The 16,649-nt window shown below is 56.0% G+C and overlaps 1 protein-coding gene across 17 annotated transcripts in view, besides 6 other annotated features; it reads left to right on the plus strand.

The window, feature by feature from the left end:
- The window catches only part of GSE1 (Gse1 coiled-coil protein), a 506,689-nt gene that overhangs the window by 417,476 nt on the left and 72,564 nt on the right, over nucleotides 1-16,649 (plus strand). The gene's annotated exons all lie outside the window — the stretch shown is intronic.
- Nucleotides 1,001-1,957: an enhancer, noted in NCBI's record as "H3K27ac-H3K4me1 hESC enhancer chr16:85621594-85622550 (GRCh37/hg19 assembly coordinates)". NCBI's record gives its function as "activates a minimal SCP1, AML or CMV promoter by ChIP-STARR-seq in naive H9 embryonic stem cells {active_cell/tissue: H9 hESC(naive)}" and the evidence as "EXISTENCE:reporter gene assay evidence [ECO:0000049][PMID:30033119]".
- Nucleotides 3,340-4,255: an enhancer, noted in NCBI's record as "H3K4me1 hESC enhancer chr16:85623933-85624848 (GRCh37/hg19 assembly coordinates)". NCBI's record gives its function as "activates a minimal SCP1, AML or CMV promoter by ChIP-STARR-seq in naive H9 embryonic stem cells {active_cell/tissue: H9 hESC(naive)}" and the evidence as "EXISTENCE:reporter gene assay evidence [ECO:0000049][PMID:30033119]".
- Nucleotides 12,353-13,053: an enhancer, noted in NCBI's record as "H3K27ac-H3K4me1 hESC enhancer chr16:85632946-85633646 (GRCh37/hg19 assembly coordinates)". NCBI's record gives its function as "activates a minimal SCP1, AML or CMV promoter by ChIP-STARR-seq in primed H9 embryonic stem cells {active_cell/tissue: H9 hESC(primed)}" and the evidence as "EXISTENCE:reporter gene assay evidence [ECO:0000049][PMID:30033119]".
- Nucleotides 13,756-14,475: an enhancer, noted in NCBI's record as "H3K27ac-H3K4me1 hESC enhancer chr16:85634349-85635068 (GRCh37/hg19 assembly coordinates)". NCBI's record gives its function as "activates a minimal SCP1, AML or CMV promoter by ChIP-STARR-seq in naive H9 embryonic stem cells {active_cell/tissue: H9 hESC(naive)}" and the evidence as "EXISTENCE:reporter gene assay evidence [ECO:0000049][PMID:30033119]".
- Nucleotides 14,476-15,194: an enhancer, noted in NCBI's record as "H3K27ac-H3K4me1 hESC enhancer chr16:85635069-85635787 (GRCh37/hg19 assembly coordinates)". NCBI's record gives its function as "activates a minimal SCP1, AML or CMV promoter by ChIP-STARR-seq in naive H9 embryonic stem cells {active_cell/tissue: H9 hESC(naive)}" and the evidence as "EXISTENCE:reporter gene assay evidence [ECO:0000049][PMID:30033119]".
- Nucleotides 15,195-15,913: an enhancer, noted in NCBI's record as "H3K27ac-H3K4me1 hESC enhancer chr16:85635788-85636506 (GRCh37/hg19 assembly coordinates)". NCBI's record gives its function as "activates a minimal SCP1, AML or CMV promoter by ChIP-STARR-seq in primed H9 embryonic stem cells {active_cell/tissue: H9 hESC(primed)}" and the evidence as "EXISTENCE:reporter gene assay evidence [ECO:0000049][PMID:30033119]".

A 16,649-nucleotide genomic window follows, 5' to 3' on the forward strand; every position in this document is an offset into this window, starting at 1 on the left:
TGGTTACAGGCTGTTCCTTGCTAGGCTCGCATCACCCCTCTAAGATGCAGAATTGTGTGTGTGGTGGGGGCACCTCCATCTCTTGTAGCCTGGAGGAGACAATAGTAGGATGGGCCTCGGCCTCTGGCGGGAGGGTACAGGGTGCTGGTCCCAGTGTGGGCGCTCTGGTCTGAGGACGAAACCCCCCCCCCCCCAGACCAGACCCCATGGTCTGGAGGGCCCGGCCGTGGAAGATGAAAACAGGAAAGAGCGGACGGGAGAAATAAAGGGGGAAACGGCGATGTGGAGCCCCAATTGCTAGCAGATGGCGCTGGTATTAGGAAAATGAAAATACATGCAGTAAATTTGCTATTAGCCAGTGTTAATTTCTTATCCCAAGGTAAAAACCTTCCCCCGGCCCTGGCCGTACCATCTGCATGTTCATAAAACACATCACAGCAGAACTGATCACGGCAGTGTGCATGTGAGGCTGTGGGTGGTCAGGCTTCAGAGGGGGAGGGGGAGGGACACCGTGCACCTGCTGGGCTCCTGGGGACACAGCGGGGGCTTCACACCTTCGGCCTAGGTACATCCAGGTACGATCCTGGGCGAGGTGGGGGCTTCTCAGCTCAGCCCAGGCCCCCTGTTGGTTTTGCCCCATCACTGAGCAGAGGCTGGAGTATGGGTTGCAAGGATCCCCAGGAAGGTTCTGCCACCGAGAACCCTCTCCTGCCCCAGCTGTTCCTCAGGGAGCCAGTGCTAGAGGGCTGGGATACTTAGTCTGGGTTGGCGGATAAAATGTTACAGGACTTTCCTGCCGGTTGGCAAAGAGGCTGTTCCTCGCCCTACCCCCAAGCCTTCCCGGACCCTTGGGCCCCCTCCCCCAGCCCTTCCCGTGTCTGGACGGTGAAAGAGTTAAGGTTTTGCAGGACAGGCAGGCACCACCTTGCTTCAGCCCCTGCCTTGCCGGGCTGGTTGTTAAATGTAACGTCACCCCTGTGGATGCCCTCGGTCATCGTAATTGGTCACCTGGCTGTCACCGTCCCCCGCCTCTCTACAGGGGAGGCAGTGTCTCTTCGTCCTCCTCTTTCCAGAGGCCAGGGGATTCACTGCTGCACCCACCCCTTTGGTGGTGGGCGACGCTGTCCTTGCCAGCTTCACTTCACTGGGGTGAGCCCCTCTCCCCAGCTGGCCTCTTGCATCTCGCTCGATTCCCCACCAGGAGGGCAGGGTCAGCCAAAGAATGCACCCACTGCTGGCTGCCACCAGCTTCCCAGAACGCTGCATTCCCTACATGGCATCGGCCACCAGCCTGGCCGCTCTTGAGGGGGTCCCTGGGCCTTGAGAGAGGCAGCACATGCTCACTGGCTGACTGGCCCCCCCTTCCCCGCTGCGGGCCTTGGGGGGCCCGTGTCCCAGCCTGGGCCTGCTAGGCTGCTAATTACCAGTGTGGGAACGGCTTTATGATCCTCAAGGGCCCTGAAAGAGCCCCCCACATCTGGTCAATTAATGCTGAATCTGTAATTCGGATGACATACAACCCCGGCCAGTGCTCCAAATGAGGCGATTAAAGAAAGGGCTCTTCTCCTGCCTCGCCAGAGAACAAGCAAAACCGGGGGCTTCTTTATTTCTCGGGATTGATAGGCCCTGTCTGTGACCTTTGCTGGGACAAGAAGTATTATCAGGAATATTTCTGTATTTCCCGACTTGGCGGGCTGCATAAATCTCCTATCAACTTGGGCAGGCGGCGAAATCTGCCGTGGCCGTTATTAACAAGGAGCACTTTCCTGGAGGGAGGGGGGCCTTTGTCAGGGGGCCCGGGGACGCTGGAGGGCTGAGGACAGCCCAGATAAGCACCCGAGGCCTGCTGCCTCCCAAAACGGCCCTCGGCCTCTGTACCTACTGCCCTGGGGGGCAGCTGTGCGCACAGCTCTGGGGAAATGAGAGTCCCCCCAGGGACTTTCACATGTTCACACTCACACATATTCACACACACGTTCACACTAACACATGTTCACACATATACTCACACATCTGCGGGTGGGGTACACTCCTGCATGCCAGGAGGGCCATGGGCTGTGCTGACTTCCAGGCCCCCAAATCCTCCCCTTCCCGGGATCCCCGTGTACCCGCCTCTCCCCTCCCTCCCTCCTCTCTGCCCAGCTGGGGACTTTTCAGGCCCCACCCCCACCGGCTTCCTAGCAGGAGCTGAAAGGAACGTTGGTGACCACTCTGCACCCCAGACCTCCTGCCTGGGGCATGGGAGACCCAGGATGCCACCTGAGCACCTGCTGGGGTGGGGAGGGTTTGTGGGTGGCTTCTAGGTCGGGCAGGGCCCTGTTTCTCAGCTGTGCACACAGGTGGAGAGGGAGAGGGCTGTGGACCTGAGAGCCCTGGACGCTGGGCAGAGCCTGGATGCTGGGTGGGCAGGGCCTGGGCTGGGTGGGAGCTTTGACACGGCGCGGGTGGAGCCTGGGCACTTTTGGAAGAACTCCAGAGGAGCCATGGCGGGAACCTGGTGGGTTGAGTTTCCCTGGCATCTCTGGAAGGTGGGGCGGGGGGTCCCTGGTATTTGTTTACCAGCTCTCCAAGTGAATAACATTTCTGAAGCATCGTGCCTGAGCATGTGTGACCCAGTGTGTGTGTGTATGCGCATATGTGTGAATGTCAGTGAATGTGTATGTGTGACGTGTGCAAATGTATGGCGGTGTATGGAATGTGAACGTGAGATATTGTGTGTGTGTGAACGTGTGAATGTGACTGTGTGAATGTGGATGACTGAACATGTGTGAACTTGTGTGACATTGTGAATGTATGTGTGAATATGTGTGAGACGTGTGTGAATGTGAGTGTGAATATGTGTGAATGTGTGTGAACATGTGTGAGATATTGTGAACATGTGACAGAGACATTGTGTGTGAAGGAATGTGTGTGATGTGAACCTGAGTGATTGAGCATGAATGTGAACGTGTGTGACATTGTGGGAATGTGAGAGTGATCGTGTGGTGTGTGAATGCATGTGTGAATGTGAGACTGTGTGACCTGTGTGAATGAACATGAGACGTGAGTGTGAATGTGTGAACTGTGTGTTTATGAATGTATCTGATTGTGAAGGTGTGTGTGAGGCGTGTGATTGAACATTTGTGCAATTGAACGTGTGTGATCATGACCCTGTGATTGTGAGCGTGTGAGTGAATGTGTGTGACATTGTGTATGTCACTGAATGAATGTGTGTGATTGTGTGAACATGTGTGACCTTGTGTGCGTGTGTGAACGTGTGGGCCCGCGTGTGAATGAGTGTGAACTTGTGTGAACATGTGTGACTGTGTGTGTGAACGCATGGGCCCATGTGTGAATGTGAGTGTGTGTGATTAACGCGTGGGCCTGCTTGTGAATGAGTGTGAGTGTGTGAGATTGTGTGAACATGTGTGACATTGTGTGTGTGAACATGTGGGCCCGCGTGTGAATGAGTGTGAGCATGTGTGATTGTGTGAGCGTGTGTGACATCTTGTGCATGTGTGAACGCATGGGCCTGTGTGTGAATGAGTGTGTGTGTGATTGTGTGAGCATGTGTGACATTGCGTGTGTGACTGGGCCCGCGTGTGAATGAGTATGAACATGTGTGATTGAGCATGTGTGACATTGTGTGCATGTGTGAATGCGTGGGCCTGTGTGTGAGCGTGTGTGATTGAGCATGTGTGATATGTGAATGTGTTTGAGACAGCGTGTGCGTGTGGGAGGGATGGAGTGTGTGTGGAGCATGTGTGGCGGGCCCTTTGTGGGAGAAGTGGGTGTTGGGCTCCCGCCCGGCCACGCTGCACCACCATTTGGCTCTGTGACCCTCCGCAGCTCACTCTGCCTCTTGGGACCCCTCTTTTCCGTCCTGTAAAATGGGAACCCCGTTTTCCCCAGGGCTAGCCGAGAATCCCTGGGATGAAGCTTGGGCCGCACTCGGTGCTGACATGCGGTGGGGGGGACCAGACGTGCTCTCGGAGCTGGACCAGGGACAGCCCACAGCTGTGTGCCCTCCTGGGGAGCAGGGCACAGGGCATTTGAGGTGCCTGTGTCCCGAGGGCCACCCTGCCCTTTCCTCCTTACTCTTGTTCGTGTGGGAAGAGATGCTAGGGCAGAGGCCATCGGGACTTACAGACCCCCTGACATTGGTGGCAAAATTGGGGTCCTTCCCTGTAGTCCTAGCAGAAGGTCCACGGCTTTCATCGGATCCAGAGAACAGCGCCTGACCCTGGGGTTGAGGTGTAGGGGCCTCTGTCGGGCCCTCCTGGTTTATTTCCAGGGCCCCTGGAGGTACCCAGGAGTTTAATTGTTTAACTCTAGTTTCCCCTCCAGTTGCTACCCTGTCACCCCCAGCCTGAATTAGAACTGAGGGCCCCAACTCAGAAAGTGGGGAGATGAGGCTGGTTAGTTTGGGCCAAGAGAAGGGAGATTTGGGAGCCCAGTGGCTCTAACTTTTCTCCCGACTCCCAGATGCGGATGGAGCCTTGGTGGGAACTGGTTCTTTGCAAACAGCCAACCTTTTGCTCCTCACAGCCTTGCGGGCTCAGCGGTGCTGGGGAGGGGTCCTGGAGGCAGTCACCTGGCTGTCGGCAGTGCCCCCCGTGGCAAGACCAGCCTCCCCTCTGACCCTGAGATGGGCATGGGCTGGGGGTGCTGGGGGCTCCTGGCTGCAGGCAGACCAGCCACTCAGGGTCCGGACCTCACCGGGACTCCGTCGGCTCCTTTTCAAAATCAACTGTTGTTCTTTGTAGAAGAGGCGTTTCATTTCTTCATTCATTCCATAAATGGACAGCCAGGGACGGTTCTGGGTGCTAGGAATTCATCACCAACAAAAGACAAAAATCCCGTGTTCCTGGAGCTGACTTTCCGGAGCAGCGCTGTCTGCTGGAACATTCTACACTGATGGAATGTTCTAGATCCGCGATGCCCAAATCGGAAGCCTCCAGCCACATGTGGCTATAGAGTGCTCAGAATGTGGCTGGAGCAATGAGGATCGGATGCACTCGTTGTATTTAATTTTAATTCACGTCAGTTTAAGGCTAAGTAGCACCTGCGGCCAGGGGCACCCCCCGCCCCCCGCTCCCGTCAGTACAGAGCTAGTGGGAAGAGCTCCGTGTGAGGAGGAGCTTTTCTGTGCAGATTTTTTCTTTTTCTTTTTTTCTTCGGGTTTTTTTGTTTGTTTGTTTTTGTTTTTTTTTTGAGACGGAGTCTCTCTCTGTTGCCCAGGCTGGAGTGCCGTGGCATGATCTTGGCTCACCGCAACTTCCGCTTCCTGGGTTCAAGTGATCCTCCTGTCTCAGCCTCCCAAGTAGCTGGGACCACCATGCCCAGCTAATTTTTGTATTTTTTGTAGAGACAGGGTTTCTCCATGTTGCCCAAGTTGGTCTCAAACTCCTGACCTCAAGTGATCCACCCACCTTGGCCTCCCAAACTGCTGGGATTACAGGCGTGAGCCACTCTGCCCGGCCTGTGCATATTTTCTTCACTGACGCTGTTTCCAAGTCACAGAGGCCTTCACACGTGTCTGGGAGGGTTTTGCCCGGGCACTTGCAGGGGTGGGGTGGGAGGAGCATTTCTACCCGTGGCCCCTTCTTCTGCTTAAACACACGGCAGATCCAGAAATTTCTCTCCAGCAGAATGCAGCCCCTCAAGGATGGGGGCCTTGGTTACATCGGTTTTTATGTTTAACTTCCACCCAGAGCTTGGCGTTTCAGGGGAGCCTGAGTTGAAGGCACAAATGCGTGACAGTTCCTGCTCTGCCCTTTACAAGCTGTGTGACCTTGGGCAAGTTACTGAACCTCTCTGTGCCTCAGTCAATAGGGATGATGACGGCACCCCTTGCAGACCTTTTGGAAGGCTTAACTGGATGAGTCACCCTAAGCATTCGGAGCAGTGTGGGTGGGGGCGCTCTGGGTGGAGGAGACCAGCTCTAGGCGAGGGTGCCTGGACTCCCTCATGGCTGCCTCTCTCTCCAGGCCCCGCCACCTCTGTTCAGCCAGCTCTGGGAGACTTGGATTGCATTTGGCTATTGGAGAGTGTCACCCCATCTTTTAAAGCTGCAGGGAAGTGAAGGAATCATCCTCTCTAGTCCTTTTGTTTGGAAACTGAGCCCAGAGACCACAAGCAAACTGGCTGGGGTCACACAGCTGCTGGGTCAGTCACAGAGCTGGGGGCAACCGTGGGCATCCTGGTCTATCGAGTGGGTCATTGTGGTGGCTGCCGCCTACCTAACCAAACCTGGTCCCACGGGCCAGCTCTCACTGTGGGGCAGCCAGCTGGAGGGACGGGGCCAGCTTGCCCCACCCCGCCCCTCCCCTCCACAGCAGAGAGTGCCCTGGCTCCATGGGGCCCAGCACAAGCTCTGGAGGCCACAGGAGTGCCTCCCCTCCAGGGCCTGGCAAGGCTGGCTCTCTGCAGGGCTGGTCAGGTCAGCTGCCTTGATTTCCCTCTCCCAGGGGCCTGATGTCATCATTCAGGGGCAGCCTGGGGACTTGAGGGAGGATGCAGTTCCCACTGCCTTCTCCCGTCCTCCCCTCCCCTTCCCTTGCTTCTCCTTCTCCTTCCTGCTTCCACGTCCTGACCCCCTGGCCCTCCCCAGCCCGGCCCCTTAGCCTCCCCTCCCTCCCGGCCCCTCACTCCCCCCCTACCAGGGCTGCCCTGTGCTAGCGCCTGCCTGTGTGAATGTCTAATCTCCAATTTTATTCGCTGGGCTCCAGCCCATTTGCATAATCCACACAGTCACCCTGGTTTTAATTGCCCACAACTCTGCAGAAAGATCATGTGGTTAAGTGGTAAATCATAATTAGATAAATAATTGGTTTGGCCACAGCAAGCTGCTTTTGTTACACCTGCCATCTGCTGGACCCGTTTTTTCTTCTGGCCAGAACAATGCGGTTCTGATGACAGAGCATGCTGCTTCTCTCTTCTGGGGGGGCCGGAGGGGGCTGAATGGAGGGGCTCGGAAGCAGTGCCTGGAAAATTGCCCGGTTGCTGGGGTCCGCGCCTGGCCTGCGCTTCTTTCTCTCCAAGCGGGCACACCACACACTCGCCATTCATTACCCGGCTTGGTTAATGCATCAGAGTGGCAAATTTGACTTCTTTGCAGAAAAGGGAGGGAGGAAAGGGGCCTGGAGGAGGAGGGGGACCAGCCAGGGCTGCCCAAGGCCTGGCCTGCCTGCCGGTTGTCGGTGGCCCCGATGGGCCAGGGCAGGAGGCCTGCTGTGGAGGGCCTGGGCCCGATCCCTGGGGGGTTGGGGGGGGGGGGCGGAGGGGACAGGCGGGCAGGGGTTGGAACCGCCAGACCTCCCTGCCCCACCGCGGTCAGCTTCTCCATCTGCTCTCCACCGAAGCCTCCTTTATTTTCCATGCCCCAGGCCCCATCTGTGAGCCCTGAGTCTCCAGGGGAATTGTGGCTCCCTGGCTGGACGGTCGCCTGGCCAGGGCCTTCCTTGGGGCTGCTGGCCTGCCTTTCATGCTGTCCTTCCAGCAAGCTCTTAGCTCCTAGACTTCAGGAACGGTTTCAAATTGTCCTTCCTTCACTCGCTCCCTCACGCATACACGCACACATTCATTCATTCAGCAAACGCCCGTGGAGCCTCTTCCTACATCAGAGTGCAGGTTCGAACTTGGTCTCCGTGGGTCAGATGGCCGCTGTGGGATGTGAGCAAGTTTCTCAGCCTCTCAGAGCAGGTTTCTTCCTCTGTAACACAGGAGTCATTATTGTCCCTGCCTTCTGGGCCTATTAGGAGGATCAAAGGACAGAATGTGGATAAAGTCTGTCGAGTGACACCTGCACGAAACACAGGCCCAGTGTCTGTGGCTGGTGAGTGCGTGACTGCTGGTCATGCCCGCTCCCGGGGAGGGCGCCAGCGCCGCTCACCTTGGGCATCATTGGAGGCCCACGAGGCTGTGCTGAACATGCTGAAGGAAGAGGTACCAGTGCCATGGGAAGGGCCCAGGAATGAGGAGCCTTGGAAAGAAACCAGGGGGCCAGGGGAACAGGCAGAGGGGCGGTAAGGAAGGGCAGGTTCTCTGGGGCCTGCACAGGCCAGGACGTTCCTGTCTCTGTTGAGTTCGGACTGGCAGGTTCTCTGGAGCCCACACAGGCCAGGACGTTCCTGTCTCTGTTGAGTACAGACCGGCAGGTTCTCTGGGGCCCGCACAGGCTGGGACATTCCTGTCTCTCTCGAGTACAGACCAGCACATGGTCCTGCTCTCTGGCCCCTGCATCCCCTCCAGACTGCGTTCTGGAAGCCCTGCCCAGGCCTCACACGCTGCCCCAAGGGTCTTTATTACCTGGGGTCTTCTAGCATTTTCCTCTGGAGAAACTCAGGAAGCATCCTTTCTCTGCATCCTTTCTCTTTGGGGGCCCAGCTTCTCCTTTTCAGTTTGACAGACACAGCCTGAATGCCCAAGGCCCCTCTGCGGAGACTTAGAGACTTAGGCTGGTGGAGAGGGTTGTGCCTCCTGGCTGAGAACCCCTCAGGGCAGATAGCTGGCTCAGAGTCCTCATGGTCTTGTTGATCAGGAAACACTGGTATGTTCCTTCCTGAAAACCCTCTGATGCCTGTTGAGGAGCCTCTAGGACACGTTCCATGTGGTTGGGACTTTGTAATGCCAGATCTTTTCTGTGTTTTAACATTCCTCCATCCATCATCTACCCATCTACCTTTCATCTATTTCTCTCCCTCCCTCCCTTCCTTCCTCCCATCCACTCACCCACCCATTCATTCATGCACCTATTCCTCTCTCTATCCCCACACCCAGCCATTCACTCATCCACCCAACCATCTATCCATCCATCCCTCTATCCATCCATTCCCCCACCCACCCACCCACCCACCCACCCACTCTTCCATCTACCCACACATCCATCCACCCACCCACTTTTCTATCTGCCCACCCACCCATTCCTCCATCCACCCACCCATTCTTCCATCTGCCCACCGATCCACCCACCCACCCATTCCTCCGCCCTCCCACCCATTCCTCTATCCACCCACTCATTCCTCCATCCGCCCACCCATTCTCCCATCTGCCCACCCATCCATCTACCCATCCACCCATTCCTCCGTCCACCCCTGAACCCATCTGTCCCTCAACCCATGCACTCATCCACTGTCTATCCGTGGTCCCTACATTTGGTCTAAAGGTAGGATCTTTTCTCTGGCAGAGACGTGGCTGCCTCCCCCACCGCTGCATCGCAGCTCGAAGGACGGATGCATCTGCTCTTCTCACATCAGCATGATGGTCCGCCTAACGTGAGGGGAGGGGGCCTGGCCCACCTTAGCTGCAGAACGCATCACTGACTTGGGAAATGAAGCCTCAAGATAGTTCCCCGGGGAGGAGCAGTGTTCTCAGACTTCTGTGACGCTTCTAGACTCAAGCTTTCAGAGAGACTCCCATGACAGCAGCCGGGCACCTGGCTCACTGTGTTCATCATGTGTGTGCTCGTGTGTTCTGGAATCCTCCCAGGAAGATTCCGCCTTCAGGTGGCCCACCTTGTTTTCTCCATAAGCCCACATACACCTCACAGACCAAATATCATAAACGTTGGCTCAGAAAATTTAAGTTGTTTCTGTATTCTAACATTATGCTGCCCAATACAGTAGCCACTATCTATTTATGCTTAATTTTAAAATTTTAAATTAATGAAATAAAATCTAGAATTCAGTTCCTTTGTCACACTGGCCACAATTCAAGTGCTTAGAGGCCATGTGTGCCAGTACTGGACAGTTCAGATGGACAACGTTCTCTTCATCATGGAAAGTTCAGCCAGGCACGGTAGCGCACAGCTGTAATCCCAGCACTTTGGGAGGCCAAGGCGGGCAGATCGCTTGAAGCCAGGACTTCGAGATCAGCCTGGCCAATGTGGCAAAACCCTGTCTCTACTAAAAATACAAAAATTATCTGGGCGTGGTGGCACACACCTGTAATCCCAGCTACTTGGGAGGCTGAGGCAGAAGAATGGCTTTGTAGTTGTTTTTTTGTTTGTTTGTTTGTTTGTTTGTTTTTGAGATGAACTCTCCCTCTGTCACCCAGGCTGGAGTACAGTGGCATGACCTTGGCTCACTGCAATCTCCACCTCCTGGGTTCAAGCAATCCTCCCTGCCTCAGCCTCCCAAGTAGCTGGGATTCCAGGCGCCCGCCACCATGCCCGGCTAATTTTTGCATTTGCAGTAGAGAAGGGGTTTCGCCATGTTGGCCAGGCTGGTCTCGAACTCCTGACCTCAGGTGATCTGCCTGCCTTGGCCTCCCAAAGTGCTGGGATTAATGGCGTGAGCCACCGTGCCCAGCCAGGAGAATTGCTTTGAACCCAGGAGACAGAGGTTGCAGTGAGCTGAGATCGTCCCACTGCACTCCAGCCTGGGCAACAGAGTGAGACTCTGTCTCAAAAAAAAAAAAAAAAAAAAAAAAAGAAGAAGAAAGTTCTGTCAGAGAGCAGTATTCTACAAGTTTACTCACACAGATTCTCTTTTTAAATTAAATTTAATTAATTTGTTTTGAGAGACAGGATCTCATTCTGTTCCCCAGGCTGGAGTGCAGTAGTGAGATCATAGTTCACTGCAGCCTCAACCTCCTGGCCTCAAGCAATCCTCCCACCTCAGCCTCCCCAGTAGCTAGGACTACAGGTATGCACCGCCACACCTGGCAGATTTTTGTATTTTTTTGTAGAGATGGGGTTTCGCCATGTTGCCTAGACTGGTCTCAAACTCTTGGGCTCAAGTGTTCTGCCTGCCTTGGCCTCCCAAAGTGCTGGGATTACAGGCATGATCCACTGCGCCTGGCTGGATTCTTCAATAACTAAAAGATGGGCCAGCCTCAGCCATTACTGGTCTCAGGTTAGATCTTTTTGCATTCGCTCTGTAGGAGAATGAGCTGGGAATCTGATTTGAACTTTGATCTTCTCTGCTGCTGTGTGACTTGGGTTCAGGTGCTTAACCTTTCTTACGGGTAGAGATCGGCCCTCAGGGTATTCAGAAGGGTGTCCTGCTTCTTGTGGAATGGTAGAGAGGAGAGTGGAAAATGGAACATAAAATACCAAAATGACTGGTGCACTGAAGAAGCGATTCCTCGGAACCTGACCCTGGACTGTTTCAGGGAGGTGTATCCCATCTGCAAAAATCAGTGTGCAGGCATCGGCGTTTTTCTCTCTCTCTTTCTCTCCCAGGCCTGAGGTTTGGTTGTTTTTTTTTTTTTTTTTTTTTTTTCACTTTCTCATCTCTCAGCAGAGTAGGGCTGGACAAGAGGGCCCAGAAGGTTCTTTGCAGCTGGCTCCTGCTCTCTGGGACCCCATGTGCTGTGCCTGGGTTTGCCAGCACCCAGCTGCGCAGGGCAGTTCGGGTGGGCTGCCCACGAGAGCCGGTCCCTGTGCCTTGGTGCACCCTGTCTGTGGGCATCAGCTTTCAGGAGAATGCCCAGCCCCATCCCAGAGCCGCGTGTCTGGCCCTCCATGCTTGGTATCCTGCCTCCAAACGATGCATATTAGAAACCAACTTTGATCTTTCAGAGATTGCCAGTGTACTTTAAAACGAATGTGCTTAAGAAAGCACCAGCACTCCAAATAGCTGAGCAGGAACTTCTAATCCGTAGTGCCCGGACCCCGGGCTCCCTCAGCCACCAAGGAGCATTGCAGCAAAGGCAAGGGAAGACGCCTTCTGGGCAGGCAGGCCAAGAGGGGCTCCAGGCCACGTGGGCCTCCCAAGTAGGCATGGGGCAAGGGTTTGCATCCCGCAACCATTGAGTGCTGGGAGGGCTGGCTTGGCTGCTCGGATCTTGGCTGTCACCTCTTCCAAAAGTTCTGTCCAGATGGGCTTTGTGGTGCGGCCCCCTCGTCCGTTCTGCAGCCTCTGGATGAGGACATGGCCCCTTGTTTGCTGGAGCAGGGACCTGTGGTCTGTGATCAATGACAAAGCCCACAGGCGGTGATTGGAGCATCGGGGCAGTGGTTGGCACAAGAAACTGCCAAGCCACAGGCCCTGCTCCATACCCTCCTCTCTCCTACTCCCCCTCAATTATTTTTCTTGGATGTTGTGAATTAAATCTTCCAGTAACCGCAGGAGACGTCTTCGGGTAAGGCCCACTCACATCTTCGTGCGCCGATAGAAGTTGTTAAATGAATAATGTTGACTTACACTGGGGACCCAATTCTCTCTGAATAAAATTCCCCCTTTGAGTTACCCGGCGCTTCCTGGAGAAACCATAAAAATAATAAACACATCTCGATATCAGAGGTTGGTGATGCTGCTTCAGGTTCTTTTGGAGAGAGAGGCGGGGGAGAAGAAATAAATTACAATTAATTTTTAAAAGACGATCACGCCACAGGTCAGATGACGAGGTGAGCTGGTGTCATGGGGTGGTTCCCCAGGGCTGAGCGGCAGACACCCCCTTAGAGCTGGGACAGGGGCTACCTGTGGACAATACTGATTCCTGGGCTCCGCCCTGGACCTGCCCCCAATCTGGAATGTGGGTGAGGGAGGTGGGGGTGGTGACACGGGACCAGCTGGTTCTTGTGCAGAGTGAAGTTTGGGGATCGTGAGTCAACGGAAGTGGCAGTGGGGTGCATCTTGGGATCTGGCTTCCTGGCCGCGTGCTTCCCTGGCCACCTGTGATCACAAGCCTCTTGCATCTCACCTCTGTGGCCTTCTCTGGACCTGAAGAATTGCCAGAAATGGGCTGAGGCAGTTGGAGGAGATGGAAGAGACATTTATCACAGGCCCTACCCTCTCTTCCTTTCTCTTTCTCCTTCTCTCCCTCTTAAGATCCCTGAACCTGGCTGGACACGGTGGTGTGCGTGTCGCCCCAGCTACTTGAGAAGCTGAGGCAGGAGGATTACTTGAGCCCAGGAGTTAGAGGCTGCAGTGAGCTATGATCGTACCACTGCCAGCCTGGGCAACAGAGACTTGCCACCTGGAAGACAGATGAGGCTGTCACCCCAGTCATGGGCAAGGCTCTGAGACTTTTCCTCTCTAAAATGGGAGGGCGGCAGCTGTCCTCCCTGTGACGGGGACCTGGCAAGGTCCCTCCTGTGTGAGCCCCTTGAAGCCGTGCCTGGCTACCCCTCTGGGTCTCTGTGGCCTCCGAGGGCGGCTGCGGGTATTCTCTATGCATTGCAGCCAGAGAGACACGGGGTCCTTCCTCTTCCAGGCCCGCTCCATCCACGTGGCTTCTTTGAGCTGAGCCTGCTTTTAAGGTGCCACCTTGGGTTATTCACGGGAACACTCACAGGTGGGGTCTGAGCGGTGTGGGGACTTTCCCAAGGTCACAAAGCAGTTTGCTGGCTGAGCCAGGAATAGAACTCCTGAGCCGGGCTGTGATCACCCTGTGCCCAAATGGCCAGGCAGGAGGGGGCTGGGCCTCCTCGATGCTTCCATGTGGGCCAAGGGGAGGGGCTGGGAAGATGTCACCCAGGCCTGATGGGGAAGGCCAGGCTGAGGGCTCTCTCGAGGACCACTGTCTTTCGTGGGAGAGGAGAGTGTCTGAACTCCGGGTGAGAGGCTAGTGTTGAGAGGCAGTGGCTGGCTGTGGCTAAGAAGGCTGTGGTGTGTGTGTCTTAAGATCATTTGGGAGCCTTGTTAAAAAACACACACACACACACACACCCCAAACACACACACACACACACACACACCCCAAAAACCCAGCATTTGTTTTCCTGGTGGCTCTTTGCAAAACACTCCAGCTATGAAGAGGGGAGGGGCTGGCGTAGCATCGCAGATGTAGGGACTCTGAAGGCTGATGAAATAAACCCATCCTTGTCAACTGGGGAAAGGCACTCAGCAATCCAGGACAAGACGGCATGGTGCGGATCCTGCAGGAGGTTCCCGCATCCTTTTTTGGCTGGGTTTATTTTGGGGACAGGAGGGCTGTTTGGCGCTGATGAGGGTTTGTGTCCTCCTAGGGGCTTCTTGATTTCATTTAGCTCAGTCTCCTCTCCAACGGCTCAGCTCAGTGAGCGCCTGGAAGAAAGTGAGAATGCCAAAGCAACCCCTCGGTGGGAGGAGGGAAGGTCGGCTTCCACCAGTGGGGGGGTTAGAGCTGCCATCCAGGAGGACTCCCTGGAGGAGGCAGAATTTTAAGCCAGGGCTTGAAGGAAGAGGTCAGGGTTTGAATAAAGGAGATGGGGCTCTGCTGGGGGAGGATACAGCAGGCCCAGGGAAGGGTGGTGGGGCTGGGCGAGTCTAGAGAGACTGTGAGACGCTTCCAGACGCCCCTAGTGCAGTCGTGAGGGCCAGGAGGGAGTCTCAGAGGGGAAATAGACCCCAGAGGCAGGCTGAGGGAGAGGTGCCGTGTGAGGGGTGGGAGGGGAGCAGCCCCAGGAGAGGAGGCAGCAGGGGTGGGGCAGCCATGGGTGTCTGCCAGGCCCACGGCAGTCAGGGAACGTGGGAGCAACTTTACTGGCACTGGGAGGGATTGCAGGGGCCAGGCTGGTGGGGAGGAGGCCTTTCAGAATGGGAGCTCAAAGACAGGCCAGAGGAAGGCCAGGCGGGAAGAGGCTCTCTGGCAAGAGGCAGAGCTGAGGCAATCAGGTAGAAATCAAGGTGGGGGGGTGACCTGGGGACCCACTGCCTCCACGCTCACCTTCAGCGCGGGGCCGGCAGACACCCAGAAGGGCCACAGGCGGCTGACTAAAAATCTCCACACCAGGAACTTCGAGCGATGAAAACAACTTTGTCCATCTAACCTTTCCTTTTTGATTATTTTAATTTTTGTGAGACCAAATTTTAAGGACATAAACACAACAAGAGCCGCAGCAGAGGGTTCCTTGCAGCCGACGTGAGCTAGGGAGCTGAGGCCCAGGTCTTGACCCCGCGTCCCCAGGGCCCGCCTATCCTGTGGTGGGTGAGGGCAGAGCTGCCCTGGACACCAGGGTCTCCTCTGTCTGCGTGCATCGCTTGTCGAGCCCGCGAGTGATAAAGGCAACTGGGACTTGATTGTCCGAGTGACAGTTGTGATCTTAATGACCGGCAGTAGGTTATTAATCAAGACATTTGTCAGGAGCACTGGGAGGCGGCGGGGAGGGAGAGGGAGAAGACGGGCCTGGAGGAAGAGAGAGTGCAGTTCTAGAAGAAGCTCCTCCGTGGTTCAGATCCCAGCCCCACCGTCCAGGGAAGTTGGCCTCTCCTAGGTTTGCAGCAAGGATGAAGGCAGAAGGCCGGGCACAGTAGGCACTTAACGAATGCTGATTCTGAGCAGCCAGGACTGCTGCCAGGGCCGGGTTAGCAGCACACAGCGCCCAGGGGGTTGCCTGGAGGCCGAGGCGGGGGCCAGGCAGGGAGGAGGCGGGGCGGGAGCAGCGTGTGGACTGATTCACAGGCCTGCGTGTCCCCAGCCAGTGCTACTTGATACGGAAAAGAACTTCGAAGGCTTTTAACATGTGGTAGAAAATCAGGGAACAGGGACCCAGAAATAAAAGTTTCTAAGGATCCCTGGGAGGCTTCTTGGGGGCTAATGGAGACCCTTGGGCCCTGGCCGCCCTGGGGTTCTAGAACCGCTCCTGGTCTGCCGGTGTGAGCGAGCTCCCCTGACCTTGCCGGATCCCTGCCCGACCCACATCTGTCCTGGGCCTAGGGTGACCCGCTGCTCCAGAACCCGGCCTCCTGGGTGCTCTCTGGGCATGTAGCCTATCTCTGGGTGGTGGCCTTGGTGGGGGCCTGAGGTGTAGGTGTCCTCTGAGCCAGTGGATGGACCACGAAGCCAGAGGAAAGCCCCTCACCCAGCCTGAGGACAGCCGGTTGATCTTTATGAAGGAAGACAGTTCCTCCCGGGCTTTTGAGTGAATCACCCAAATTTCCGGTCCACTGGTGTCCAGGCTCAGCAGGTGGAAGTGTACTCACTGCTGCCAGCGATGTACCCGGTTACAGGGGCTGCCCTTGCCCTCCCCCGCAGGGGCCCACACACTGGTCTCAGGTCAGGGGTCTGGGACCGGAGCGGGGCGCTCCGTGGGCAGCTGGTGACCTCTGCAGGCCTTGCTTCCCTGTGCCCCTGCCTGGGCTGCCATCCCATCCCCTCCAGGCCTGCCAGGGTCACAGCTGGCCGCTTTCCAGCCGAGTGGCCAGGTGGCAGGAGCTGCCTTGCAGCCCTGCTTGGAGACAGGTGTGTTCATTTCAGTGTCACGACCTCCAGCTGCTCAGAGCTCACGAGGCAGCAAGACCCGCCTTTCCCCTGCATGGGAGAATTGTCAGTGAGGACAAAAATAGGTCTGCAGCTTTGAGGGAGCTCAGCTGGGGGAGGGGACATTGTGAACCCCTCCATCTCAGAGCTTGGGTCCACAGAGAGGGCACCGTGTCCGTGGAAGGGGGAGAGACGCCGAGTGGGGAAAGTTCCCTGGGAGGAAAATGTGCTGGGTCATGACTGGCTTCGCTCGTGACTCTGCTCAGCCCCCAGTGCCCGAGGGTCATCCGCACAGCCCGAAAGGGAGTTTCCAGGGGATGCTTCTCTTCTTGAGGCTTCTCTGGAAACTACAGGCCCTGCCCTGCATCTGGCCTCTCCCAGGGACAGGCAGAGGCCTTCAGATTGGATTTTTTTGTTTTGTTTTGAGACAGGGTCTCACTGTGTCGCCCAGGCTGTGGTGCAGTGGTGCGGTCATGGCTCACTGCAGCCTCAACCTCTCAGGCTCAAGCCAGTCCTCCCACCTCAGCCTCCTGAGTAACTGG

Source organism: Homo sapiens, chromosome 16 (genome assembly GCF_000001405.40).
Source record: "Homo sapiens chromosome 16, GRCh38.p14 Primary Assembly".
NCBI lineage: Eukaryota > Metazoa > Chordata > Mammalia > Primates > Hominidae > Homo > Homo sapiens.